Here is a 27715-nt window from a genome sequence, read left to right as displayed (position 1 = left end):
TTTTCAGGGGGCATCTTACTGAGCACTAAACACGCGCAGGTGCTGCACCAGATGCCAGGAGCCCCGCAAGCGGAGGAGCTGCGTACACGCGTGTCAGTTAACTGGGCGCACAGTGCCCGTGGCGCCGCAGACCCGGCCCTCAGACTCAGTTTCCCCTCACAGGGATCGCTCGCCCCGCCCCGCGGCGGTCTGGGGAGCAGCAGCCCCGGGCCCCGGCCCTGCCTTGCCGGTTTCCGCCGGTGCGGCTGCGTCCTTCACACTCCACCGGAAGCTCCGGGCCTGGCCGCCGGTAGGCGGTGGCGGAGGCGGCGCCGAGGTTGGCTGCCCTACACCCCTGCCCCGGGACCGCAGGGCGGCTCCCCGGCCCCCTTCCTCGCCCCGAACTCCCCGCTCCAGCTCCCGCTTGCTGAGGCGGGGACTCCTCGGGTGCAGCCGGGGACCTGGCACCTCGGCTGCAGAGACCGCCCCGGACTCAACTGCCCCCAGCCCAGCCGCGGGCGCCCCGGCCCCGCAGGGGCTCATTCCTCTTTCCGCGGGCACCGGCGCTGCCTGGCTCCCAGCGCTGCCCTCGCAACTGGATATGTGGAGGTGGCGACGCGACACTCCCCCGCCCTCGGGCGGGCTCACCGACCTGGCTGGGGGCTCAGCCTGCAGAGCCGGGCGGCGGGGGCTGTGCTGGCGCCGGCAGGCGCGAGGAATCACAGAGCGGGGCGCCCAGCCTCATCATGGGGCGGCCCACGGAGACTTCCCGTGGGAGTGGGGTCTGGTGCAGGGGCGCCCCAAAGGACGAGTGGGAGATGGGGACACGCGGCGCAGAGAGACTCCTCGTGGATGGAGCCGATGGAGGCCCAGTGTAGAAGAGAAAGGGGTCAAGGAGACGGATAAGGAGCCACCAGAGACGCGGGGGGAATTCCCCGCAGAGGATGCGGGAAGCCGGGGAAAGGAAGGGATTCCGGAAGGAAGGGCTGAGAGCCGGGTCAGGTGCTGGCAGGAGGGCTGGTTGGATAGAAACTGGGGCGGGCCCAGGGCATTTGGCGTCCCCGACATGCGTATACACTTGGAGAGATGATTCCCTGGAGATCCAAGTGCCTGTATAGACAATCTTTTCTAGAAGTTCTACCGTTAGGTGAGGCGAGAGTAGATGTAGAAATTGGAGACGAGAATAAAGAGTGTTTTAAAAGCGTGCGTGGTTACAGGACTGGCTCTGGGTTCAGGGGTCCCCACTCACTAGCTGTGAGACCTTGAACAAGTCGCTTAGCCTCTCTGTGCCTCAGTTTTCTCATCTGTAAGGTGGGGATGATGATGGCAATACCTGCTTCACAGAGTGAAAATTAGATGAGATGATGTCTGTAAAATTACGTAAGACGGTACCCAAAAGTAGTACTATTTTTCCCTTTTCTTATTAGAGCAGGTTGCGCACGTTTTGATGTCCGTGGGAATGAGCAGGTAGAGAGGGTGGTATTGAGGCCGGAGGGGAGAGAAGGGACCCACAGATGGGGAGAGAAGTCTTGGGTGCCTGTTTTATCCCAAACCAGGGGAAGGAGGGAACAGGTAGGGCTGGCTGCAGGAAAGCTTGCAGGTATGGGGTACACAGTTAAAAGGGAGTGTCTTCTGATAGTCTTGATGCAGGCCTGGAGGTCGTTTGTTATGGGGGTGGAGGTCCTGATGTACATTGTGGCGGTAAGATGCCGTGCTGTCTTTGCCACCAGCCTGTGGCAGCCCTGGTGTTACACCAGGGCAGGTGGGCAGTTTAATGTATCTCAGGCCAGATGACCTGCCCTGCCCACCTGTTGAGGCTCCAGTAGATAGACGTGAAAGCACAGTATAAGCATAATGCACCACTTTAATCCTTTTCTCTGAGGAGCTGGAAGGCCTGTAGTCACCATCTGAGCCAAATGTCATTCAAGTACTTCACTTGGGTTACACACCACACTTTGACCCACTATCTCATTTAGTCATCACAACAAATGGGTGAAATAGGTATTATTGTCCCATTTTACAGATGCAGAATCTGAGTTTCAGGGAAGTTAAGGACTTTGTCCCAGGGCCCACAGTTAGTAAGCAGTGGACCCAGGATTTCAACTCAGCTCTGTCTGACCTCAAAACCCATGATCTGAAACCACTGTGAAAGTTTGCAAAACCTCTGTAGCAGCCAAGCAGGATGGAAAGATGTGTAGGGATTGTCTTCTCCATTTGATAGATGAGACAAGAGCTGGGTACTCTGATCTCCATCCCAAGCACACAGAGCTTGGGGCCCCACAGCCCTGGTGTGAATCCCACTCCACTACCAGAGGCTGTGTGCCTTTGGACCAGGCATCTTGCTTCTCTGACCCTATATACAGCTGCAGAAGAATTCCTTGCAGGTTGCTGTAAGGATTTGGAGGGAAACTGTTGCCCAGCACACAGTACACATTCTGGGAGCCATCGTTTCCCCAGTGCACTTTTCCTGCAAATGTGGATCTACATCCCACTTGGATGCTGAGACCAGCTGCTGTGATCTTGCATTTGTTTAGCGCTTTGTTCTCCTTGAGGCAGTAAAGTGGTGGCACCTGACCGGAGCATGTAGCCACCTATGACTTCCTGAGTGGGGTGGTGTGGGGAGGGCCCTGAGGAGTCTGTGGTCCTAGGCCTTGGATTTCATCAGGGCTTTCCTGCTCCTTCTGGTTGCCTCAGTCCCAGGCAAGATAGGGTCCCAGAATCTTACAGCCCAGAGGCCACCTGTTGCAACTTCTTTTTTACAGATGGAGTCATCAGAACCCACTGTGAGGAAGTGACTTCTCCTTGAGGTCACCCAGACACTCCAAACAGAGCAGAGCAAAAGCGCCTAGAACTTGAAATTTTGGACCTGTCTCCAACACCCTGGGGATTTCCACCAGGAAGGTGAGCACCCCCACTGAGAATTCCAGGCTGCTCAGAGGTGCCAGGGAACACAGACCAGGGACCAGCTGTGGCCCCCTCCTCCGATGTGCCCAGGGAAGTGGGGGAAGCCAGCGGCAGCCTGCGATTCTCAACCAGGGGAACTCTCACTGTGCTTTCTGAGAGTCTGTGACACGGGTCATTTTCTCTGACTTGCTCTCTTGCTTTTTCTCACTCTAAAAAAAAAAAAAAATGACTGGACACTCCTAAAGCCTTCAGTCACCATCCAGGGGATTTTTATCGCCACAAAGGGTAATTCCTGCTCCATCCCTGCTGTGACTCAGCTGTGACGTTGAACCACACAAGCCAGAGAGAAGAAGATAAAGTCATCAGAGCTCCTACTCACCAGAGAGTGAGGCCCAGGCCAGGACTCCACAAGGCTGGTCCCCTGCCCTGGAGCAACTTAAACAGGCCCTCTGGCCAGCCTGGAACCCTGAGATGGCCTCCAGCTCAGGCAGCAGTCCTCGCCCGGCCCCTGATGAGAATGAGTTTCCCTTTGGGTGCCCTCCCACCGTCTGCCAGGACCCAAAGGAGCCCAGGGCTCTCTGCTGTGCAGGCTGTCTCTCTGAGAACCCGAGGTGAGGTGATGGAGGAGCGGAGGGTGGGCAGAAAGTGGGTGCCAGGGAGGGACCCCTGATGGGAGGTGAGGGGCAGAGGAGCCTGTGACTTCAGGCGGTGACTTTTCTTCTCTGGGCCTCAGTTTCCACACCCTTTTCTCACACTCCCTGACACTGCCCCTCTGGCTGTGGTGGAAGGAGAGGAAGCCACAGAAAGGCATCAGCTCCCACAGGGGAAAGCCATCCACACCGAGGAGAGCCTCGAGGCTGTGAGGCCACTGTCTCACTGTGTGGTCTGGTGCTCTGCTAATGTCCCTAAGCCGCAGCTCGCTTGTCTGTAAAGCTGTTTTCTGTGTCATAGAATTGTTAATGAAGCCCAATGAATAATAATCACAAAAGTCCTTATAATAACAAATATAAACCTCTTGGTGAATGACAAACTGTTAGACGAATATCTCTCCTTCCACAGCATTGCTCATCACCTCAGACCGTTTGCTGGGAACCCTTTTGGAGGGGACAAAGAGATCGATATATATTTGTGTATTTAATGATACTTAAAATATTAACAACCCAGAAAGGCATGATATCAGTACTATTGTGGACATCCCTCTTTAAGCAATTATGCACCTACTGTGTGCCAAATGCTCTGCCCTTGGGTCCTCAGCACAACTTAGAGGGGTGGATACTATTATGATCCTATTTTACAAATGAGAACACTGAGGCCTAACAGATTAGGTCAGCTTTGGTCAGTTTCCTGGCAAATATGCCCTTAAACTATCTCATGTGATGACCTTTTGTTTGCGGTTTTACAGCTTAAGAAGGTGGCAAAGCTGAATCAGGCAAGTGAGAAGTTCAAACATGACGACAAAGGAGGAGGCTGTGAGAATAGCGAGGAGAGGCTGTGGCCGTGGAAAGGCCAGCCAGGAGGTGGAGGAGCAGAGGTTCACTGGTTTTACCATCAAGCGGATTGTCAGGGTTCAGCTCAGGCTCTGGTAGTGGGTCTCCTGGTTTCCCCTCTCCCTCCTTCCAAAACCTGGCAGAGGAGGGAGCTGATTGGAAGTTGGAGGGCTGAGGCCTGAGGCCTAAGTCCTGAAGAGCTTCTACTCAGCTCTGCTCCTGACTCACTCTACCTTGACCAATCCACATGCCCTCTGGGGCCTCATTCCCTCACTTGTAAAATAGACTATCTCGGTAGCGGTAGCAGGTCAGAGACACCAGGAGCTTTGTAAAAACACAGTTGCTGGCCAGGCGCAGTGGCTCATGCCTGTAATCCCAGCACTTTGGCAGGCCGAGGCAGGAGGATCACTTGAGGTCAGGAGTTTGAGACCAGCCTGGCCAACAAGGTGAAACCTCATCTCTACTAAAAATACAAGAATTAGCTGGGTGTGGTGGTGTGCACCTGTAATCCCAGCTACTTGGGAGGCTAAGGCATGAGAATCACTTGAACCTGGGAGGCAGAGGTTGCAGTGAGCTGAGATCGCACCACTGCACTCCAGCCTGGGCTACAGAGTAAGACCCTGTCTCAAAAAAAGAAAAACCCCCAAAAAACAGACAAAAAACCCACGGGTACCCAGGTGTTACCCATTAGAATCTGACACCCATTCCTGATTAAGAACCTCTAGGACAGATGTTCTCTGAGGCCCTTTCTTGTTCTAATAGGCCATGATCCTCTGTAATTACTAAACATATAAGACCAAAACCAAATGGAGGACCAAATGAGAAGAGCAAATATAGTCACATGTCAGCAATCTTTTGCCTAAACCCCTGAGATCAGATGTGTTTTGTAATTCAGAATTTTTTTTAGAAAAGCAAATCAGGGCATCATGTAATTGTGGCAGGGAATGCGGCAGTGCCCTGTAATCAAGCACATTAATGTTTCTGCAATGAAACATGTATATATTCACACTAAGTGGGGCAAGTAAGGGCTATAATAGCTTCCGGTCAGTGCAGTCACGGCAGGTTTGGCAGCCCAGGAAGCTCACTGCAAACTACCAAAAAATGTGGGATACTCGGCAGTTTTGCGATTTAGGAACTGTGGCTCTGGGATTGTGGACGTACATGATCACCACCCTGCTGATAGTTGAGGCTTCTGGAGCTGTCAGGAGAGTGGATGGTGCAGGGAGCTGTAGTGCCTCTCTCCAAGGCTTTGTCCATGTTTCCCCAGGAATGGCGAGGATCAGATCTGCCCCAAATGCAGAGGGGAAGACCTCCAGTCTATAAGCCCAGGAAGCCGTCTTCGAACTCAGGAGAAGGTACGTTGGCACATCACAGAAAGGCATTTGTCCGTTGTCTTGATTTTTCCAGGTTGAAGCCAAGTAGACAGCTGCCCACTCCACCCCTGGCAGGCACCTCCCAACTAGTCCTGAGTCCAGACTGAATTTGCTTTATAAGGAATAAGGAGACTGATGTTCACAGTGGTGAAGTGTCTTGCCTAAAGCTACCTGGCAATAGACTTAGAGTGAGAACAGTCCAGACCAGGGGTCCACAAACTACGGTTCATGGGCCACATTCTGGCCCACCACCTAAGCAACGAGCTAAGAGTGGTTTTTATATTTTCAAATGGTTGAAAAAATCAGAAGAATGATAGGCCATGCATAATGACCTGTAATTCTCGAGGCTGTGAGGCCACTCTCTCACTGTGTGGCCTGCTGCACTGCTAATGTTCTCAAGCCACAGCTTGCTTGTCTGTAAAACTGTTTTCTGCATCACAGAATTGTTATGAGCCCCAATCAATAATAATCAAAAAAGTTCTTATAATAACAAATATAAACCCCTTGGTAAATGACAAACATGCCTGTAATTCTGAAGTGTTAGAATTCAAATTACATAGAATTACATGCCTGTAATTCTAACACTTTGGGAGGCCGAGGTGGGCGGAGAGCTTGAGCCCAGGAGTTTGATACTAGCCTGGGCAACATGATGAAACCACATGTTTACAAAAAATATAAAAACTAACCTGGCATGGTGGCACATGCCTGTAGTCCCAGTTAGTCTGGAGGCTGAGGTAGGAGAGTCGCCTGAGCCTGGGGAGGTCGAGGCTGCAGTGAACCATGATCGTGCCACTACACTCCAGCCTGGGTAGCAGAATGAGACCCTGTCTCAAAAAAACAAAAAAAGATATTTTGGGACACATGAAAATTATATAAAATTGAGTACTTGCAACAAAGACTTCATAGCCCAAAATATTTACTATCCACCCCTTTACATAAAAAAGGTTAGCAAACTCCTCATCTAGATGGTTCTGTCTGCCTCTGTTTGCCTTTAGGTGGGGAGAGACCATTATCAGCTCACGTCCTGAGCTCTGTCAAACGGTGCTTCTAGGAATAAGAGACACATTTGGAAGTGTGATAGGCCAGAGAGACATTTTCAGGAGCTACAATTTAGAACCCTGGCCCTCCCAAGCTGGAAGGACCCTCATAGGTTACATGTCCTGCTCAGAGGTTCCCACATGCTATCCAGAACTGATCCATTCCCACCAGCTCATGACAAAATGATAAAAATAAGGCAATTCTATAAATCAGTTTATGTAAACTAAATTCTTTCCATTTATAAAACCAAACTTTTACTCTGAGATTGCGTCTGTCCTATGCATGTCTTTATATAAATGAAAGGATGTAATCGTAGATGATAGTTTTTGGCAAAGCCTTTGCTAAGTAAAATTAAAAAGATGACAATCTCTTTGTTAATCTCTCAATTTAAAAAAAAACACACTCGTATTGGTCCACGAATCCAAACAGGCAGGAGTCACTGCTCAAAATCAAATCCTCTTGTTTACACACGGGGCCCTGAGACCTGCAGAGGAGTCTCGTTGCTCAGCCGCCCTCTCTACCTCCACTGGGAAGTGCCTGGCTCCTTTCAGCCAAAGCCCTCTTCTTGCAGCAAACTGTGGCCCAGGGATCAGGAGCCTGATGTCCAGGGGTGGTTCTGCATAATTCTCTGCTTGGCTAGCAGCAATTCCCAGGCCCTGTTTCTGTATCTGTAAAATGAGGATATTAAGTCAGCTCTGCAAGGCCTTTCCAGGATCTGTGATGTCCAGACCGTGATAGCAGTGCTGGCAGGGCAGCTATCCCCCTACCGCTGGACCAGAGGCAGGCGAGTGTCCACACCTCCTTCTCCTTTCTCTGAGCTGGTCCCTCTCATTCAGAGAGTTCAGGGGAATTTCCTGTCCCACCCAGAGCTGGTTTTGAGCACTCTCCCATCTGCTTCTCAGCAACCTCTCCATCGGCAGGCCCTCAGAGAGTAAGAGTAAGGACCAAATGCATGTTCTTGGAACTTTACACTCTGCAACGTGGTAAGAGTTAATATGATATGCTGCTCCGTGGAGTAACTCCCTGAGCCTCACTGTTTGGCTCTTGGTGGATCGGCTGTGAGACACAAGCAGACCCTCAACTCTGTGAGCCACTATGCCTCACTTGCAAAAGGCCCTTACCTGCTTGAATGCTCTAGGACTGTTGTTTTTAGCTTGTTTTATTCTTTCCTCTTAACAAAATTAATACACATTTATTGTGTAAATCTTAGATCACATAGATATTTTAATATCTCCTAATCCAATGGCTTTTTTTCATCTTTTTCAATCAGATGAAAGTAAAAGCATTCTGATGGAGGGGGATCCTGGAGCCCCGACCTGTTAATTGCCCCATTTCTTTCTCCTATCCGAGCCCCTAAGAGGTTCTGGGGACTCCTAGGGCCCTGCAGAGCACAGTTTGAAACTTGCTGCCTTAAGCCAAGTGAAGGCACTATAATTCATGGTAGAATTATAGGCACCCTAACAGGCTACAGGATGGGAGAGGAAGCTGCCTGTATTTGGGAGCAAAGAAGCCTTCTTTAATGCGGGCAGACCTCTGAGAGGCATCAGCCCCCTCCCCTCCCTGCTGGCTTCCCCACCTCGTGGAGTCATGGACTTCTGGTGAAAAGCTGGGGTGGGGAGGGGCGGTAAGTCATGGTCTGATCACCTACACAAAGCCACATAGGGGAAGGACCAGGGACTCCTCTGACTTTTGCCCCAGTGGGAACTTTGGGGGACTTTTGACCAAAGGAAAGTGGCTGATGATAAGTCACCACTTTGCATGTGTGGTAATTCCTAAGTTTGCCTGCACATCTGGGGCAACCTGGGAAATGGAGGCAGGGTGGAGGGCTGAGGACCAGCCCTCCTTGCAAACACTTCCCATGCCATCTGCTTATCAGTTTGTCCCCAGCCTGTGACTTCATTAGATGATTATCTCCCAAAGAAGTGCCCAGAGCCATGGACTGATTACCTAATGTAAGAAGCAGATATTAGAGGATTAATGTTGACCTAGTTAGAGACTTGATACTTGCCTGGCGTGATCTTCCTGTAGAAGTGACAGTGAAGGAGGGGATGCCAGGGGGCTGGAGATAATCTTCAGTCCTGTCTGCTGAGGATCAGCAAATGGGATTGTTTCTCCCACCCCCTCCCCCTGAGGCCCATTCAAGAAGGTCAAAAGCAAGCTGACAACTGATGCCAGTAGCTCACAGTAAAGCCTTAATTTGTCTAGACTCAGAAAGTGACAAGGGTTTAAGCTGTCTAGTCCAATTTCTGTTCTGTACTGGATTCATGCTACGTGGCTCCATGTCCTTCCAATGGCAGAGAGGTCATTACTCCATGAAACAACCACACCTACCCTGGGGAGCTCTGAGTGATGCAACATTCTCCTCTTTCTTTGTACTGAGCTGAAGTCTGTCTGTCTCCCTTGAGGTCACAAAAGGCAACTTAGCCTCCTATCCCTGGAGTCAGTCCTGCCTCCATGGAAAGACACTGAGCAGTCTTTCCCCAGTCTCTGTGCATTTGGGGTAAATGCGCTTCTGTTTATCTGTGTTCCTTGAAGTGTGATACCTGGGAATAAACCCCCAAACCTTACACTTCTGAGCTTGACAGTGTTCATCTGTAATCGCCCCGATCCTGTGACATCCTGTGTGGTGGGTGGCGGTGATAGCCCTATTTTACCAATAGGTAATATTTTGAGGCTCCATGAGGAGGTGTGCCTGGACCAAAGTCACACAGCAAGTGGGAGGCAAAGCCAGGCTCTAACCCATGGCTCCTGAGCTGGTGGCATCTTCTCTATGCTGCCTCTACACAAGGAATCCTCCCCTAAATGTTTCATACCTGCTTAAATAACACAGTCAGGCTTTAGTGCAGGAGTCCACCAAGTGCTATGGGAAAAACAGGAATGGGCAAGACTATGTTCAACCAGGAGAATCAGGCAGGGCTTCCTGGAGGAGGTGGCGGTCGAGCTGAGCAGAGGCTGACAGAGAGTAAACCGGCCCAGTTACAGAGGAGGGCAGGAACGGGCGGACAGTGGCAGACTGACCAAGCTCCCCATGTGACTGTAGAGCACCCCCTCAGCACCAGCTGAGACCTGAGTCACAGCAGCCCCTCCGGGCATCCCTGACCTCAGCCCAGTGTGGGGGTAGGCAGTGCCTGGCCTGCTCAGATCCTCTTTGTTCTGTGCAGGGGCTGCAGAGGTGGCACTCATGCTCCCAGCACCCTCTTAACAGTCACATTCCCGGAGGCCCCAGGTCTCAGAATGGGGCCCCCCGCTAGGGCCCACTGTGACCCCACCACAAAGGGCCTGGGTAGCCAGGGTGGCCGGAAACACCACACACGCAGAGACTCCTCAGACCCAGACAGAAGAACGAGTGTTCCCTCAGGGCTGGGAATCTGTTTTCTCTGTTTCTGTCTCCTCCTCGGAGGAAATTCCACTGCACACTTTATTTTTAGCAATTTGCAAGCAGTGAGGCCACTCACACAGGGGCCACTTGTGACACCAGACAGGGTTGGCCCAGGACAGATCCTCTGTTCTTCTCCTGCAATGCAGTCTGATTCCTGATTCCCTCTCCTGTCCCCTCGGTCCCTGGCCTTTGAGTGAGGCCACCCCAGGCAAGGACACTATGGTGGGGAGGACGGAGCCTGCACACGGACTCCAGGCTCCTGGGCTCCCCTCGCCTGCCCCGTTGCCTCCTGGAAGTCACTGATCGCCCCTGGGCTTCGGCTTCTCCACCTACCCGAGGGAAGCAGAACCTCAGAGCCCCAACCTCCCCCTCATGGCTGTGAGGATCTGATGGGACAGTGTCTACATGAGTGCCAGGAGAGCAGCAAGCCCATGCAGGGGCTCACAACTGTGAGAGAGAATGCACAGGTGTGCCCAGCTCCTCTGCTCACAAGCTCAGCATGACCTTAAGCCATTCCCTCTGTTTCTGCCTGTGTTAAGGTGACTCTAATACAGCCCCACCTGCCTCAGATGATTGTCACAGGGATCCTATGGGACAACATTCAAACATATTTTGGTCCTGTTCATTTAGGAATGTTCCTCACCACCTTGAGGAAATCCAGTGGGAAAATGGAGTTTTAGAGAGTTCATTGTTAAAGAGTTTGTGATGTGAGGATTAAATGAGATACATGTATATGACAGCCACTGAGGGATTGGGACTGGGAGATGTCCCGGGGCAGTGCTTAATCCACAGGAATAAGAATACTAATTAGTAGTAATACTAGTAGTATTACTACTATTAGTATTATTAGTGTTATTAGTAGCAGTAGTATTCAACAAGTATTCAGTAGTAGTATGGAATAATTTCAATAAATATGAGCCATTATTACTATTAATTTATTATTAGTAATAATGGCTCATATTTATTGAACACTGTGTTAGGCAGAATAATGTCCTCCAAAGATGTCCACATGTGAATCCCCAGGACCTGTGAGTATGTGACCTCACATGGCTCTATGCATTTGCCAGGGCTGCCATAACAAAGTGCACAGACTGGGTGGTGTAAACAACAGAAATGTATTTCCTCGCAGTTCTGGAGGCCAGAAGTTCAAGGCACGGTATTGGCGAGTTGGTTTCCTCCAAGGCCTCTCTCTTTGCCTTGACATGGCTGTCCCCTCCCTATGTCTTCATGTGGTCCTTCTTCAAATTTCCCCTTCCTAAAAGGATACCAGTCACATTGCATTAGGGCCCACCCCCAATGACCTCATTTTAATTTAATTAGCTCTTTAAAGGCCCTGTCTCCATATTCTGAGATACTGGTGGTTAGGACTTCAACATCTGATTTGGGTGGGGGTTGCTGAGCCCATAACAATGGCAAAACAGACTCTGCAGACACGATTAAATGAAGGATTCTGAGATGGGGAGGTGACCTTGGATTATCCAGGAGGCCCAAGTGTCCTCAGAAGAGGGAGATGAGGGTCAGAGAGAAGGGGAGATGCTCCACTGCTGGCTTTGAAGATGGAGGAAGGGACCACAAGCCAAGGAGTGCAGGCAGCCCTGAGAAGCTGGGGAAGGGAGGAAGCCATCCTCCCCTTGGGCCTCCAGGAGCAACGCAGTCCTGCTGACATTTCCATGTTAGGACCCCTGGCCTCCAGAACTGTACGATAATAAAGCTGTGTTGTTTTAAGCTGTTAAGTTTGTGGTATTTTGTTACAGCAGCAATGGGTAACTAATACCAGTGCTTACATGTATTATCTCATTTAATCCTCACAATAACCCTGTAAGGGGGTATTATTATTATCCCCATTTTGCAGATGAGGAAACTGCAGAACAGAGGAGTTAGTAACTATCCCAGAGCCACAAAGCTAGTATGTGAAGTGACAGAAACAAGCTCTGAACCCCAAAAGGCTGGCTCCAGAGGCCACATCCTGAACTCCCGTGCACTCTAAGGAATGAATAATGATGATGGAGAAGCCTCTGAAAGCCTCTCAAGTCACCCCTGCCCCTTTCTCCAGCAACTGTTCAAGGCTCATCACAGTCCACATCTGTACACGCATCACAGAAGGATGTCCCTACATCTGAATAGCATTTCACTCCCTAAAACAGACATTTGCTGTTCACACAACGCCAGGACAGCTCCGCTGCTGAAAGACACATCCCCTCCACCTGCGGGGTGATGTCTGGAATTTCACTCTTAGCTTGATCATTTTCATGTTCTTATCTCTTTTATGACTCTCCCACCAAGCTTTGACCCTTAGAACCACAGACTATTGGAATCATGGACCTGTGGGGAGGGGTGGGACCTGAAAGGCTCCCCCAGGTATATTCACCAAGGAGCCAGGTCTACACATAGCATCTTCCCTCCACTGTTCTCACATGTCAAAAGCTACATGTTTGGGGAGGTTTCATCACCACAGACTTCCCGAAGCCAGCACGGTCTCCCTGCCAAGGCCGCCCTCTGCCTGCCTTCCATAGAACATCTGTTTTCTATTATTTATTGGGAACAACTTGTCCCTGAAGCCCTGGGCAGTTGGTGGGTGGGGGTGGGGGCAGGGTGGCCTTTGCTGGGCTGTGTTCTGTGTCTCAACCCAACTGTACTCATTAAGCCCACAGCTCTCTGGTTATGTTACTTTTAAAGAATAATAACTAGTGTGACTTTTTGTATTTGCTCAGTCCGAAAGACCTCTGTCCTCTCCTGCTTTCGTCCAAATCCCCTTTCACGTGGTTCCATGAGATTATTCTCTCAAAAAAAAATAAATAAATAACAAAGCGCTTATAGAATCAAGATTTTATTTATATGCCATAAAACTCACTCATTTTAAGTGTACAGTTTGATGAATATAAATAATCATGTAACCGCCACTACAGTCAAATGGCAAATGTTTCTGCACGGGATAAAGCTGCTTTGTGTCCCTGCATAGTCAGTCCCCTCCCCACCCACAGCTCCAGGAGGCAACCACTGATCTACTTCCTGTCACTCTAGTTTTGCCTTTGCTAGAAGCTCGTAAGAATGGAAACAGGTAGTATGTAGTCTTTGGTGTTTGACTTCTTTCACTTAGCATAATGTTTTTGAGGTTCATCCATGTTATTATTTATGCTGGTATTTAATTCCATTTGGTTGTTCTGTAGTATATATAGACCAATTTGTTTACCCACTCACCAGCTGATGACACATTTGGGTTGCTTTGAACAAAGCCGCCATGAACATTCACATACACACCTTTGTGCAGACATATGTTTTACTTTCTCTTAGGTAAATTCCTAGGAGTGAAATGTGTGGATTGTATGGTAACTTTATAAGTATGGTTTATAAGTAAATTATTTTATAAGTATGATTTAACTTTATAAGATACTTTCATAGATTGTATCTGTTCATTATTCATTTATTTTTTTTAAGAGAGACAAGGTCTTTCTCTGCTACCCAGGCTGGAGTACAGTGATGTGATCATAGCTCAGTGCAGCCTTGAACCCCTGGGCTCAAGCGATCCTCCCACCTCAGCCTCCCAAGTAGCTGGGACTATAGGTGTACGCCACCAAGACTGCTAATTAAAAAATTTTTTTAAGTAGAGATGAGGTCTCATTATGTTGCCCAGGCTGTCTTGAACTCCTGGCCTCAAGTAATCCTCTTGCCTCAGCCTCCCAAAGTGTTGAGCTTACAGGTGTTGAGCCACTGAGCCTGGCTGTGCCCATTTTTTATTAGGTCATTTGTCTCTTATTAGGTTGTAAGAGTTCTCTATATATTCTGGATACAAGCCTTTATGAAGATACAGTCATGTGCCATGTAGCAGTCAACACCAGACCACATATACAACGATGGTCCCAGAAGAGTATAGTACTGTATTCTTACTGTACCTTTTCTATGTTTAGATATATTTAGATACACACGTACTTACAGTGTTAACAATTGCCTACAGTATTCAGTATGGTCACGTGCTGTACAGGTTTGTAGCCTAGGGGCAATACGCTGTCACAGAGTTTCGGTGTGTAGCAGGGTATACCATCCAGGTTTGTGTAAATACATCCTATGATGTTCACACAATGATGACACATTTCTCAGAATGTATTCCTGTTGCATGACTGTATATGTTGGAAAAACTTTTTTCCCATCTCTCCTGGGCTGACTCCTGTTAAGAGGTAGTGATGTGCGTGGGAGGGGCCCTGTGGCTGTGCTGCCTCCCAGCTCGGCCTCCTTGGGCAAATCCCTTCCCCTCTGTGAGCCTCAGTTTTTTCATCAGTAAAATAGGAATAAAAACCCACCCTCTCTTCCCCACCATGCTGTAAGGAGCCCTAGGAAGAATTATGGCCATGAAAGCATTTGGTAAATGCTTCAGACCTAAATAGGCTAACAGTGGGGTCAAATTGCTATTATAATAGCACTGAGACCCTCCTGTATCCCTTCCCTCAGGCTGGATGTTATCTGGAAGGGAAAGTTGTGCGGAGTGGACACACCTCAGTCAAGGATAGATGGCCAAGGAGGGATGCAGATGGGAATTGTGAGCCCAAGATTCCCCATGAACTTCAGGAGGAGGGAGGCATTTACTCATGCAGTCAGTGTGTTCTGAGTGTCTCAGCTGTGCCAGGCACTGCCCTCAGCACTGGGAACACAGCCATGGCCCTCACAGAGCCCCCCCGACCAGTCGGGGCAACCAGAGAGTGAGTGATGATTACGGAGCTGTGTGGACTGTGCCCTGACAGGAGAAATAGCAGTGCTGCCCAGGATCACAGTAAGGGCCCAGGTCCTGTTTTGAAGGAAGGTCATGGAAGGGTGGAAGCTTAAAGGGTGGAAAGGAGATAGCCAAAGGGAACAGCAGTGTGCAAAGTCATGTGGCCCAAGCCATCTCCTGCCCTGGTGGATCCTGGTGCATTGAAGAGAGCCCCAGGGTAGCCACAGGGATCGCTATAACATTCAGTGATGTGATTATTATTTCCAGGCTCACCCCGAGGTGGCTGAGGCTGGAATTGGGTGCCCCTTTGCAGGTGTCGGCTGCTCCTTCAAGGTAAGCATCTGAGTGTGAGAAAGGAGATCTATCCACTATGGTTCCAGACCTCCAGGTCTCCCCACTGCAGCCCCTCCATGATTTTCCCGTAACATCAGTCCACTCATCTGGATGTCCTTTGTACTAATGACTTTCCCAAGCATCAGAGCCTACTATTAAGTCATCACAGTACTCAGGGAAGTTCTTCCTAATGTCTTACCTAAGCATAGGCAGAACATCACTAAAATGACCCCCACCCCCAATGCCCCTCTCCATGGTCCTGAATCATCCTTGCACTCCAGGGCAGGGCAGAATTAGAAGCTGCAATGCATGTGGCTCATCGTGGGCATGTCTGATGCCAGGGTCTTCCTCTGAATCCCTCCCACTGTACAGAAAGCCACTCCTTTTTGCTGGGTGAATGAATAATCCTTGGTGACCTTTGATAGCAGGGCACTCCACTGCTCCCCTGTCCTCACTCCACCTCTGTTTTCACTGATCAGCCCCACTCTCTTGTCAGGGAAGCCCACAGTCTGTGCAAGAGCATGAGGTCACCTCCCAGACCTCCCACCTAAACCTGCTGTTGGGGTTCATGAAACAGTGGAAGGCCCGGCTGGGCTGTGGCCTGGAGTCTGGGCCCATGGCCCTGGAGCAGAACCTGTCAGACCTGCAGCTGCAGGCAGCCGTGGAAGTGGCGGGGGACCTGGAGGTCGATTGCTACCGGGCACCCTGCTCCGAGAGCCAGGAGGAGCTGGCCCTGCAGCACTTCATGAAGGAGAAGCTTCTGGCTGAGCTGGAGGGGAAGCTGCGTGTGTTTGAGAACATTGTTGCTGTCCTCAACAAGGAGGTGGAGGCCTCCCACCTGGCCCTGGCCACCTCTATCCACCAGAGCCAGCTGGACCGTGAGCGCATCCTGAGCTTGGAGCAGAGGGTGAGTGTGGGAGGCAGGTTTGCCTTCAAGCCCGGCTGAGCCCCATCCTGTCTCCAGAGCGGCAGACAGGCTTCCTCCTAATCATTCATCCTGCTTACAGCAGTCACTCCATCAAAACGTATCTCCCCTTTATCCCACACCCTTCCAGGAAGAGCGCTGAGTTAGAAGCTGTAGTCAAGGTCATAACCTCCCATCCAGTGCTTCGGTTCCTTTGCTTGAACTTTTGTGATAAGACACCACCTCCCTGAGCAGCTCATTCCAGTGCAGGACATATTCCACTCTTAGCAAGTTCTTCCTTGTACTAAGCTAAAATCAGCCTGTCTCTTCCCTGCATTGTTCCTGGCCCTGCCCCTCAGAGCCCACAAGACAAATCCACCTTCTAGTCCCCATGACAGCCCTTCAGGGATGGAGGGTCAGATTCTGTCCTACCTGAGTGCTTCCCTTTTCAGGCTAAAAGCCCCAGCGCCTTCACGTCTTCCTCAGAGCATGCTGCTTCACATTGCCATCCTACGCTCTGGCTCAGTCTCCAAAGAATTCTGTACGCTTGGAGTATGGTACCAGGCTGACTCCAGATAATCCACTTGGCCACAGTTCTTGGTCCAACAGGGCTGTCTTCTCCCTTATTCTAGAGCTTATACTTTTCTTTTCTTTCTTTCTTTTTTTTTTTCCTTTGAGACAGAGTATTGCTCTGTCGCCCAGGCTGGAGTGCAGTGGCGTGATCTTGGCTCACTGCAACCTCCACTCCCAGGTTCAAGCGATTCTCCTGCCTCAGCTTCCTGAGTAGCTGGGATTACAGGCGTGTGCCACCACACCCAGCTAAATTTTTTGTATTTTTAGTAGAGATGGGGTTTCACCATGTTGGTCAGGCTGGTCTCGATCTCCTGACCTCGTGATCCACCTGCCTCGGCCTCCCAAAGTGCTGGGATTACAGGCATAAGCCACCGCGCCTGGCCTATACTTTTCTTAATGTAGCCAATGACCATTCTAATGTTGCTTCTTTTGCAGTAACATTACATCATTGTCTCATATTGAGTTAGGCCTGGATTTTAGTTCCTGCTTCACCATTACCATTATCTGCCTCACCATTCGCAATTACCATTACAGCAGGTGATCAGAGCCACCTGCCGTGTGGGTCTGAGCAAGTCACTTTCCCTCTCAGGACCTTCCCCATCAGTAAAATTAACGATTAAATTTTCTTTAAGGATGCTCACTTCCATTCATGGCTTCCCTACCTGAGCACACCCAAGAATAAATTTATATTCTTTCCATTTTATTGGGGAAAGCTATTAGAAGGGCCAGGCGCTGAGTTGGAGTGGCTGAGGCTTTAGCCTTTATTTATGTAACTCTTGCTCCAGTTAAAAGGCAGCCTCCCTGAAAGCCACAATTATACCTTCATTTCACCCACAAACTTCCCAGCTCTACTTTTACATACCAGGTACTATGCAAGGCATGGACACAAAGACACAATGAGCATGGGCCCAGCTTTCGGTGGAGGAGACCATCTGGTAGGGAAGCCAGAAAAATATGTCTCATGAAATCATTGTAAGGGCTCTGTAAGAACATATTGAAAGAGAGCAGCTAAGCTAGGACAGTGGTTGAAGGCTTCCCAGATGAGGGGCCATATGAGCTGGATTCCTGGTGGATAAGGAAAAGGAAGGCCAGGCAGGGGGCAGCACATTCAGATGCAGACGCACACCTGAGTGAGGCGTGGTCAGCAAAACACATCTGGGGCAGATCAATCTCCACATCCCGCCATTCCCATCCCATCCCCAAGCCGGGTTCTGGTGTTCCTGGCTGAACAGTCTTCCCTACAGGTGGTGGAGCTTCAGCAGACCCTGGCCCAGAAAGACCAGGCCCTGGGCAAGCTGGAGCAGAGCTTGCGCCTCATGGAGGAGGCCTCCTTCGATGGCACTTTCCTGTGGAAGATCACCAATGTCACCAGGCGGTGCCATGAGTCGGCCTGTGGCAGGACCGTCAGCCTCTTCTCCCCAGGTAACACCTCCCAGGGGCACAGAGACCTGCCTGGGGAAACAGGCCCCACAGGACCCAGGAAGCAAGCAGTGAAAACTGCCAGCTCTGTGACAGACACGCTGTGTCCAGTTTAGGCCAGTGCCCATTCAGGCCACTCACCATGGGCAGGAACCATGCTGGGATCTTCAGGTTGGTGGGTGAACCGTGCTCTGCCCTGTGGCTCTCAGCCACACATAGCGGTGGCCCCAGCTGACTGACATTCAGGCCCTTTCTCCTCCCTGAATGTCAGTCCCATTCTGCAAATAGGAATCAAAACTGTTACCCACTTCATGGGTTTGGGATGTGAAGGAAAGTGTGCTGTGGGCCACAGTATGTGCAGATGAGATGGATGTGGATGATGATTTTCACAAGTGAACACCGTGGCCTCAGAGAGCCGACAGTCTGAAATAAGATTAGAGAACTGAGTAAGACACATGCACTTGTGTATGATTGCAGGTAGCATATGTGAATGAGTGTCTTACTCAGTTCTTACTCATTTCTGGGGCCCCTGGGCTTGGCACAATGTCTTGCATAAAGTAATTACTTGGCAAGTGTTTCTCTTAACTAAATGATATCTGTTAATATAACAGTGCATATATTTGTGCAAAAAATGAGGCAGCAGACTGCGTGCAGTGGCTCATGTCTATAATCCTAACACTTTGGGAGGCTGAGGCAAGAGGATCATTTGAGGCCAGGAGTTCAAGACCAGCCTGGGCAACGTAACAAGATCCCATCTCCACAAAATTTTTTTTAAATTAGCCAGGCATGGTGGCCTGCACCTGTGGTCCTAGCTACTTGAGAGGCTGAGATGGGAGGATGGCTTAAGGAGTTTGAGTCTGCAGTGAGCTATGATGGTGCCACTGAACTCCAGTCCAGGCAACAAAGCAAGACCCTCTCAAAAAACAATTTTTTTTTAACGAGGCAGCGGAGTGTGTCACAATCCCAGAGCAGGGCTGGGACTCCTTTCCTGCAGGAGTAGCGCTCATCCCACTGTGTTGGGACAGCTCTCTTCATGGGGTGGCCTCGAGCCCTACTTGTAGACCTTTTTCCCTCAATTCTTTTCAAAGAGGGAAAAAGCAAGCAGTACCTCGTGCTTCCTGTTCTACCAAAACGTAATGGGCAAAGATGAGTCAGACTGCCAGCCTGTCCCTCCTCCACCCTCTTCCTGCCTGCCCCCAATTCATGTCCCCAGTCAGCCTCTCCCAGAAGGGCGCTCTGCCAGAGGACATGCTCTCATGGGATGGCCCCTTTAGCTGCCCAGGGGGTTTCTGTGCATGTTCACCAGGTATGATTCAGCCCTCAAAGGGTTTTGCCACCTGAGAATGGCTGGCAGAACTGCGAGTCACCCCATGTACCCCCAGCCTCCAGGGGACCCCAGCCAGTTGGCATAGGGCAGAACTGTGAGTCACCCCATGTACCCTCAGCCTCCAGGGGACCCCAGCCAGTTGGCATAGGGCAGCAGAAAGAAACTGCTGCTGGGAGGCAGGAAGCCTGGCCCCTCATTCTTGCTGGGTCCCCAACATACCGTGAGATGGTGACCAGCCACTTTGTTTTTCTCAGCTTGGTTTCCAGACTGTAAAACATAGGTTGGTTAGATCAGTGGTTCTCAGAGTGTGGTCCTAGGACCAGTGGCATTGGCAACCCCTGCAAACTTGCTGGAAGTGCCAACTCTCAGTTCTCACCCCAGGGTCACTGAGTGAGAAACTCTGAGGGTGGGGCCCGGCAGTGTATGACTTGGATGGCCAGCTGACAAACACTAAGCTAGATGACCCCCAAGAGCCCATTCCTGTCTGACACCCTACTCGAGAAGAATGCTGGGTTCTAACCCCATCTTTCATGGTTTTGAGCCGCTGACCTTGGGCATGCCTGACCACTGGATCCCAGTCCCACATCTGCAAAGTCCAGCACTTCCCAACTGCCTCTGGCTTCTGCGTTTCAGCCTTCTACACTGCCAAGTATGGCTACAAGTTGTGCCTGCGGCTGTACCTGAATGGAGATGGCACTGGAAAGAGAACCCATCTGTCGCTCTTCATCGTGATCATGAGAGGGGAGTATGATGCGCTGCTGCCGTGGCCCTTCCGGAACAAGGTATGGGTGTGAAGGTGATGGGGGTAAGGTGGGGAGCATGGAAGCCTGAGTCCTAGTCCTGGTTTGGCAATGAATTGGCCATGTGACCTGGCAAGTCCCCCACCCTCTCTGTGTTATCAGTTTCCCTTTTTATAAAACAATCAGATCTAGTAACTAGGGCTCCCTCCAGCTCCATGAGTCCAGGAGCTAAAATGTCTGGAATCTTCCTGAAGGTTATATAGAAATAAAATTCATGGCCAGGTGCAGTGCCCCACACCTGTAATCCCAGCACTTTGGGAGACTGAGGTGGGAGGATTGCTTGAGCTCAGGAGTTTGAGACAGCCTGGGCAACATGGCAAGACTTCATCTCTGCTAAAAATAAAAACCATCTGGCCAGGCATGGTGGCTCAAGCCTGTAATCTCAACAATTTGGGAGGCCGAGGCGGGCGGATCACTTGAGACCAGGAGTTTGAGACCAGCCTGGCCAACATGGTGAGACCCCGTCTCTACTAAAAATAAAAAAATTAGCTGGGTGTGGTGGCATGCACCTGTAATCCCAGCTACTGGGGAGGCTGAGGCAGGAGAATCGCTAGAACCTGGGAGGCGGAGGTTGCAGTTAGCCAAGATAGCGCCACTGCACTCCAGCCTGGGTGACAGAGCGAGACTCCATCTCAGAAAAAAAAAAGAATGTGGGAACTAAAATTTTCATTTTTAATGTAATCCCCAAGATTTTCTCCAAGAAATAAATTGTTGTTTTGTATTTTGTAACTTAAAAGCAGCTATTGGTAAATTTCTGAGATATAGCAGGAGACCAAAACATGTTTGGAAAGAGAATAAATATATGAAGAGAGACTGGTTGTTTTATTTTCAATGTATTGAATATATTAGATTACAATTTATTTTCTGAGTGGATGTGATTAAATATTCAGACGTTTAGTGTATGATTAACAGTGAGATAGAGATTTCTTTGGAGTTATTAAATCCATCCTGTCTTTTACATAATGGACAAATCAAGTTAAAAAATTTTTTAGATAGCTTAGCTTATTTTCTGGTGCTGTTGACCTGCAAGAGAATATACTTTCGCATATACAGGTGAAAGTTTTGCAATTTATGTATACAAGAAATTGTAGGCATTAAAAATATTTTATTGATAAAATAATAATAATAAAATAATAATAATAATAAAAACCATCAGCTGGGCGTGGTGGCACATGCCTGTAGTCTCAGCTACTTGGGAGGCTTAGGTGGGAAGATTGCTTGAGCCTGGGAGGTTGAGGCTGCAGTGTGCCATAACCTTGCCACTGCACTCTAGCTTGGGTGACAGAGTGAGACCTTGCCTCAAAGAAAGAGGAGAGAGAGAGAGAAAGAAAGAAATGGAGGAACGGAAGGAAGAAAGGAAGGGAAGGAAAGAGGGAGGGAGGGATGGAATGAATGGCCAGTGGCTGCCCACTCTTCTTCCTCCTTCACATCGTGGGGTAAATAAGGAAAACTTCTGGGAGGAGGTGCCGTGAGGCTAGCCTGAACTAGCAGAATTTTCAGGAAAAAGGAAGGAGGCAGGTATCACTACATATTAATACATACTAGAATGGCCAAAATCTGGAACACTGACAGTACCAAATGCTGACGAGGATGTGGAGCAACAGGAATTCTCATTCATTTCTGGTGGGAATGCAAAATGGTACGGCCACTTTGAAAGACAGTTTGGCAGGATCTTACAAAACCAAACACACTCTTACCAAACGATATAGCCAGTTGCTCTCCTTGGACTCAAAGGAGTTTACTTAGAGGAGTTGAAAACTTATGTTACACAAAAACCTGCACAAGGATGTCTATAGCAGCTTTAGTCATAATTGCCAAAACTTGGAAGCAACCAAGATGTCCTTCAGTAGGTGGATGGATAAATAAACTGTGGTGCATCCAGACAGTGGAATATTATTCAGTGCTAAAAAGAAATGAGCTATCAAGCCATGAAAATACAGGGAGGAAACTTAAACACATATTACTAAGTAAAAGAAGTCAATTTGAAAAGACTATGTTCTGAATGCTTCCAACTATATGACATTCTGGAAAAGCCAAAGCTATGAAGATAGGCCGGGCACAGAGGCTCTCGCCTGTAATATCAGCACTTTGGGAGGCCGAGGCAGGTGGAGCGCTTGAGCCCAGGAGTTCGAGGCCAGCCATAACGAAACCCTGTCTCTACAAAAAATACAAAAAATTAGCTGGGCATTGTGATGTGTGCCTGTAATCCCATCTACTCTGGAGGCTGAGGCACGAGAATCGCTTGAACTCAGGAGGTGGAGGTTGCAGTGAGCTGAGATCGCGCCACTGTACTCCAGCCTGGGGGACGGAGTGAGACTTGGTCTCAAAACAAAAACAAAAACAAAAACAAAAGCTATGGAGACAGTAAGATCAGTGATTGTCCAAGAGTAGGTGCCGGGAGAGATGAATAGAGCACAGGGGATTTTGGGAGCAGTGAAACTATTCTGTTTGATACTGTTATGGTGGATACATGTCCTTATGCATTTGTCAAAACCCATAGAAAGTGAAATACCAAGAGTAAATGCCAATGTAAACTGTGGACTCTGGGTGATAATTATGTGTCAATGCAGCTTCATCAATTGTTACAAAACTACCACTCTGGTGGGGATGTTGATAGTGGGGGAGGTTGTGTACTGGGTGGGGGCAGGAGGTATATGGGAACTCTGTATTTTCTAATCAGTTTTGCTGTGAACCTAAAACTGCTCTAAAAAATACAATCTATTAAAAATTCTTTGCCGGGTATGGTGGCGCACGCCTGTAATTCTGGCACTTTGGAAGGCCGAGGTGGGTGGATCACCTGAGGTCAGCAGTTCAAGATCAGCCTGACCAACATGGTGAAACCCTGTCTCTACTAAATACAAAAAATTATCTGGGCATAGTGGTACATGCCTGTAATCCCAGTTACTTGGGAGGCTGAGTCAGGAGAATCGCTTGAACCCAGGAGGCAGAGGTTGCAGTTAGCCAAGATTGTGCCATTGCACTCCAGCCTGGACAACAAGAGCGAAACTCTGTCTCAAAAAAAAAAAAAAAAAAAAAAACACACCATAATTCTTATAGAGGGGTTTGGGGGATAGGCATTTCCTGTGGGTGAACAGCAGCATTGCATGAGGGGAGGGTGTCAAGAATAGAGACCTCAGGTCTGGGGAAACAGGTGGGGCAGGGCAGGTGTGCCGCTTTGGTCTGGATGTGAGTCAGTAGGTTCTCCTACCCCCGGCAGTTCCCAAAGGTGCTGGGGAGATTTTTAAAACACCAGTGACAGAATCTCACCCCCGTAAGTGATAAGGCCTGAGCATCAGGATGAAGTCTCCGCAGGGGGTCCTAATGTGCAGGGTGAGGATGCTTCAGTTGGCAACGGGAAGCCATTCAGCTTCCTGATGGACATTTCAGGGGCATGTGCCAGGGAAGAGGGTTTGTGTCACTTTTAGACAATCGGCTTCTCAGGGGAACCTCCGTCTGTGCTGTGTATACCAGAAGCTCCACAAATGTCTCAGGACATCGATGACAGCCCCTCAGTAGAAGACCTCTCTGTTCTGGCCCTTCTGCCTTGCCCCAGGAGGTTCCAGCTGTAGTTGATGAAGCAAAACTTTCCAAGCCAGAGGGGGTGTTACAGGTTATTGCCTCCACCCACCTTGTCAGTGCTTCAGTCACACCCTCTGCCCCCAACAGCCAGTCACACTTGACTGGGGCATCAGAACCTTCCCCTGCTTCCTGCTGGCTGGAGGGAACATCTGATCCTCATCATGGAACAGCCCCTGAAGTGCACTCAGAATACCAGGTGCCGCTGGCTCCCTGGGTCTGGCCATACGCCAGGTGCGCTCCTTACTTGGTTTCTCTGACTCCTAATCCAAATGAGCCAAGGGTCTGAGGGGCTGCACAGGCAGTAGGTGTGGAGCACAGCTCTGAGCCCAAGCCTGGGCCTCCAAGCTGCGCTGCTGCTGTAGGGCCTGATCTCCCACCTATCCCTTCCCTGCAGGTCACCTTCATGCTGCTGGACCAGAACAACCGTGAGCACGCCATTGACGCCTTCCGGCCTGACCTAAGCTCAGCGTCCTTCCAGAGGCCCCAGAGTGAAACCAACGTGGCCAGTGGATGCCCACTCTTCTTCCCCCTCAGCAAACTGCAGTCACCCAAGCACGCCTACGTGAAGGACGACACAATGTTCCTCAAGTGCATTGTGGAGACCAGCACTTAGGGTGGGCGGGGCTCCTGAGGGAGCTCCAACTCAGAAGGGAGCTAGCCAGAGGACTGTGATGCCCTGCCCTTGGCACCCAAGACCTCAGGGCACAAAGATGGGTGAAGGCTGGCATGATCCAAGCAAGACTGAGGGGTCGACTTCGGGCTGGCCATCTGGTTAGGATGGCAGGACGTGGGCTGGGCCCACAAAGGCAAAGGGTCCAGAAGGAGACAGGCAGAGCTGCTCCCCTCTGCACGGACCATGCGACACTGGGAGGCCAGTGAGCCACTCCGGCCCCGAATGTTGAGGTGGACTCTCACCAAATGAGAAGAAAATGGAACCAGGCTTGGAACCGTAGGACCCAAGCAGAGAAGCTCTCGGGCTAGGAAGATCTCTGCAGGGCCGCCAGGGAGACCTGGACACAGGCCTGCTCTCTTTTTCTCCAGGGTCAGAAACAGGACCGGGTGGAAGGGATGGGGTGCCAGTTTGAATGCAGTCTGTCCAGGCTCGTCATTGGAGGTGAACAAGCAAACCCAGACGGCTCCACTAGGACTTCAAATTGGGGGTTGGATTTGAAGACTTTTAAGTTTCCTTCCAGCCCAGAAAGTCTCTCATTCTAGGCCTCCTGGCCCAGGTGAGTCCTAGAGCTACAGGGGTTCTGGAAACATTCAGGAGCTTCCTGTCCTCCCAGCTCCTCACTCACCTTCAGTAACCCCCACTGGACTGACCTGGTCCACAGGGCACCTGCCACCCTGGGCCTGGCAGCTCAGCTTCCCCAACACGCAGGAGCACACCCAGCCCCCACATCCTGTGCCTCCATCAGCTAAACACCACGTCACTTCATGCAGGTGAAACCCAGTCACTGTGAGCTCCCAGGTGCAGCCAGAGGCACCTCAAGAAGAAGAGGGGCATAAACTTTCCTCTTCCTGCCTAGAGGCCCCACCTTTGGTGCTTTCCAGAATCCCGTAACACCTGATTAACTGAGGCATCCACTTCTTTCAGCAGACTGATCAGGACCTCCAAGCCACTGAGCAATGTATAACCCCAAAGAAATAATTTTTAGAATCTCTTTCGAAGTTTTCCTAAAGTGTATGGTTTGGGAGTTGTTTGTACTGAGCCAGGTTTGAAAAGGCCATTGCTGAGTTTGAGGTGGTGCCACCAGTTTTGCAGGTGGCATCAGAGGCTGGCATGCTGGCAGGAACATCCCCTCTTAGCCCCAGTCTTCTCTTTTCTATAATGAGACCCACCCCAGCTTGCCTCCCTCCCTGGCTTCTCTGACCCTCAAAGGAGATGCCACGCAGGACAGACTGGAGAGAGAAGCCTGGGCAATACTGCCCGCCTGTCATGGCCTGGTGGTGGCCCACACCTATCTTCTCACCTTGGAGGCCACACCCAACTTTCCAAAGACCCTGAGACAAGTCAGGACCCTACTACTCTCCCCTGCTGCTTTCCTGACAGCTTACTCTTCCTCCACCTGCTGAGCCTGTGCCAGACTCCATTGCTCAAATCGTTAGGGTTGCTTCTATAAAAATGGGTCAGTAGCCCTTCCTGTTCTCTCCAGCCCAGCATACAGGAGGATCAAAGGAGGTGACGGAGCATCGTGGCACGGCAGTCTCAATGGGTCAGAAACCCAGGCCAGCTGGGCTCTAAGCCTGGCATCCTGTCATGCTTAGTCCTTCAGCTGAAGATCAGAGGAAGCCTCTCCCTTGCCCTCTCCAGCTCTAGGGGTTTTCAGGAGGCCCAACTGCAATAATGGAGCACTAGTGCTTTTATGTGCAATGGTGTCGTCCATGCACGACAGCAGCAAACATTCTGGGGCTGCTTTTTATTGTTCCCACGGCTGACAGCGTGGCAGCGGAGACTGTGGAGGCAGTGGAGACTGACTTCTTCCTGCTGACAGCTGGATGTCACACATGAAGGTCTGGCCTAGCGAGTGATGGGTCTAGGCCCTGAAACTGATGTCCTAGCAATAACCTCTTGATCCCTACTCACCGAGTGTTGAGCCCAAGGGGGGATTTGTAGAACAAGCCCCCATGAGAAACAGCTGTTACTCTACACTTTTGATTGCCTATTTCTGATGGCAAGAGATACATACTCTCTTCAAAGAGCATGAGATGCAGCCATTCTTTCAGCAAAGCTTCATTGACACCTGCACCTGTTAACTGTGTTCGACATTGAAGGGAGAAAGGCAAGATGTGCACTCTGGACTCAAGAAACTCTTAGTTCAGTGGAGGAAATGAGCAGATAAGTAGATCATTATGATTGAGAGTAGGAGAAGCTTAGAGAAAGCACAGAATCCCAGATCCAGCTGGTGAAGGAGGGAAGGCTTCAGGCCTTTAAGCTCAGCCTGAGAATATTGTGAAATGCAGAGGATGGGGAAAAGGGAAGAGTACCGACTTGAAAACGGAGAGCTGTCTTGGCTGAGGGCAGGGTCTGTGTGGCAGGATGGGGGAGGGAGTCAGAAGGGTCAGATGAACTGGAGTGTAGACAGCATCAGATGCAGCAGTGCCCACCGCCCCCCCCCCCACCCCCCGCCCTGCCCACAGAGCACCTGCTGGTAACCCTGGGCCTATTGAAAGCAGGATGAGATGATAATTTAAGACACTGAATGATTTCTTTTCCAACAAAGCTCTATGTTAAGTGCATCAAAGATGTGACATTGCATCTTTTACAGGTGATTCAAGGGTGGGGGAGGCAAGATGCAGGCAAAGCCACCGTTTCACTGGGTGGATTCAGTAGGTCCCCCACCCCCAGCAGTTCCCGAAGGTGCTGGGGAGATTTTTAAAACACCAGTGACAGAATCTCACCCCCGTAAGTGATAAAGCCTGAGCATCAGGATGAAGTCTCCGCAGGGGGTTCTAATGTACAGGGTGAGGATGCTTCAGTTGGCAACGGGAAGCCATTCAGGTTTCTGATGGGCTTTTCGGGGGCACGTGGCAGGGAAGAGGGTTTGTGTCACTTTTAGACAATCAGCTTCTCAGGGGAAACTGTCTGCACTGTGTATACCAGAAGCTCCACAAATGTCTCAGGACATCGATGACAGCCCCTCAGTAGAAGACCTCCCTGTTCTGGCCCTTCTGCCTTGCCCCCGGAGGTTCCAGCTGTAGTTGATGAAGCAAAACTTTCCAAGCCAGAGGAGGTGTTACAGGTTAGTGCCTCCACCCACCTTGTCAGTGCTTCAGTCACACCTTTTGCCCCCAACGGCCAGTCAGACTTGACTGGGGCATCAGAACCTTCCCCTGCTTCCTGCTGGATGGGAGGAACATCTGATCCTCATCACTTAACAGCCCCTGAAGTGCACTTAGAATACCAGGTGCTGCCGG

At 50.2% G+C, this 27715-nt stretch overlaps 2 protein-coding genes across 4 annotated transcripts in view, besides 10 other annotated features; both read left to right on the top strand.

The window, feature by feature from the left end:
- Positions 106 to 695: a silencer, noted in NCBI's record as "silent region_20228". NCBI's record gives its function as "represses an Ori minimal core promoter by ATAC-STARR-seq in GM12878 lymphoblastoid cells {active_cell/tissue: GM12878}" and the evidence as "EXISTENCE:reporter gene assay evidence [ECO:0000049][PMID:35858748]".
- TRAF1 (TNF receptor associated factor 1) lies at positions 259 to 27037 on the top strand. 3 transcript variants are annotated; one of them, NM_001190945.2, is made up of 9 exons: positions 259 to 316; positions 2742 to 2880; positions 3129 to 3494; positions 5638 to 5725; positions 15130 to 15195; positions 15692 to 16102; positions 17917 to 18094; positions 20052 to 20200; positions 24192 to 27037. In NM_001190945.2, the coding sequence occupies exons 3-9, from the start codon at positions 3355 to 3357 to the stop codon at positions 24408 to 24410; spliced, it is 1251 nt and encodes a 416-aa protein (NP_001177874.1). In that variant the 5' UTR covers positions 259 to 316; positions 2742 to 2880; positions 3129 to 3354; the 3' UTR covers positions 24411 to 27037. The 3 variants fall into 3 exon arrangements, with proteins under 3 accessions (NP_001177874.1, NP_005649.1, NP_001177876.1); NM_005658.5 differs by lacking the exon at positions 259 to 316 and having other exon boundaries at positions 2634 to 2880; NM_001190947.2 differs by lacking the exons at positions 259 to 316; positions 2742 to 2880; positions 3129 to 3494; positions 5638 to 5725 and adding an exon at positions 14847 to 14922.
- Positions 2356 to 2675: an enhancer, noted in NCBI's record as "active region_28909". NCBI's record gives its function as "activates an Ori minimal core promoter by ATAC-STARR-seq in GM12878 lymphoblastoid cells {active_cell/tissue: GM12878}" and the evidence as "EXISTENCE:reporter gene assay evidence [ECO:0000049][PMID:35858748]".
- Positions 3016 to 3355: an enhancer, noted in NCBI's record as "active region_28908". NCBI's record gives its function as "activates an Ori minimal core promoter by ATAC-STARR-seq in GM12878 lymphoblastoid cells {active_cell/tissue: GM12878}" and the evidence as "EXISTENCE:reporter gene assay evidence [ECO:0000049][PMID:35858748]".
- Positions 3482 to 4005: an enhancer, noted in NCBI's record as "H3K4me1 hESC enhancer chr9:123687703-123688226 (GRCh37/hg19 assembly coordinates)". NCBI's record gives its function as "activates a minimal SCP1, AML or CMV promoter by ChIP-STARR-seq in naive H9 embryonic stem cells {active_cell/tissue: H9 hESC(naive)}" and the evidence as "EXISTENCE:reporter gene assay evidence [ECO:0000049][PMID:30033119]".
- Positions 3816 to 3885: an enhancer, noted in NCBI's record as "active region_28907". NCBI's record gives its function as "activates an Ori minimal core promoter by ATAC-STARR-seq in GM12878 lymphoblastoid cells {active_cell/tissue: GM12878}" and the evidence as "EXISTENCE:reporter gene assay evidence [ECO:0000049][PMID:35858748]".
- Positions 8647 to 8716: an enhancer, noted in NCBI's record as "active region_28906". NCBI's record gives its function as "activates an Ori minimal core promoter by ATAC-STARR-seq in GM12878 lymphoblastoid cells {active_cell/tissue: GM12878}" and the evidence as "EXISTENCE:reporter gene assay evidence [ECO:0000049][PMID:35858748]".
- Positions 9916 to 10065: an enhancer, noted in NCBI's record as "active region_28905". NCBI's record gives its function as "activates an Ori minimal core promoter by ATAC-STARR-seq in GM12878 lymphoblastoid cells {active_cell/tissue: GM12878}" and the evidence as "EXISTENCE:reporter gene assay evidence [ECO:0000049][PMID:35858748]".
- Positions 15414 to 15918: an enhancer, noted in NCBI's record as "H3K4me1 hESC enhancer chr9:123675790-123676294 (GRCh37/hg19 assembly coordinates)". NCBI's record gives its function as "activates a minimal SCP1, AML or CMV promoter by ChIP-STARR-seq in primed H9 embryonic stem cells {active_cell/tissue: H9 hESC(primed)}" and the evidence as "EXISTENCE:reporter gene assay evidence [ECO:0000049][PMID:30033119]".
- Positions 23769 to 23928: an enhancer, noted in NCBI's record as "active region_28904". NCBI's record gives its function as "activates an Ori minimal core promoter by ATAC-STARR-seq in GM12878 lymphoblastoid cells {active_cell/tissue: GM12878}" and the evidence as "EXISTENCE:reporter gene assay evidence [ECO:0000049][PMID:35858748]".
- Positions 25302 to 27715, top strand: part of PHF19 (PHD finger protein 19) — a 48478-nt gene continuing 46064 nt past the window's right edge. The window contains exon 1 of the mRNA XM_017014612.3: positions 25302 to 27540. The gene's annotated coding sequence lies outside the window, so the exon portion shown is untranslated. The remainder of the gene's footprint in view (positions 27541 to 27715) is intronic.
- Positions 27489 to 27578: an enhancer, noted in NCBI's record as "active region_28903". NCBI's record gives its function as "activates an Ori minimal core promoter by ATAC-STARR-seq in GM12878 lymphoblastoid cells {active_cell/tissue: GM12878}" and the evidence as "EXISTENCE:reporter gene assay evidence [ECO:0000049][PMID:35858748]".

This window comes from Homo sapiens, chromosome 9 (assembly GCF_000001405.40).
Source record: "Homo sapiens chromosome 9, GRCh38.p14 Primary Assembly".
Lineage (NCBI taxonomy): Eukaryota > Metazoa > Chordata > Mammalia > Primates > Hominidae > Homo > Homo sapiens.
Note: the sequence above shows the minus strand (reverse complement) of the source record. Positions and strands in the feature narration are given on the sequence as shown.

Coding starts and splice junctions, on each gene's coding strand:
- TRAF1 (NM_001190945.2), top strand. CDS start 3,355: ATGGCCTCCAGCTCAGGCAGCAGTCCTCGCCCGGCCCCTGATGAGAAT. Junction 3,495..5,637: donor TGTCTCTCTGAGAACCCGAG/GTGAGGTGATGG, acceptor ATGTTTCCCCAG/GAATGGCGAGGATCAGATCT. Junction 18,095..20,051: donor CGTCAGCCTCTTCTCCCCAG/GTAACACCTCCC, acceptor TCTGCGTTTCAG/CCTTCTACACTGCCAAGTAT.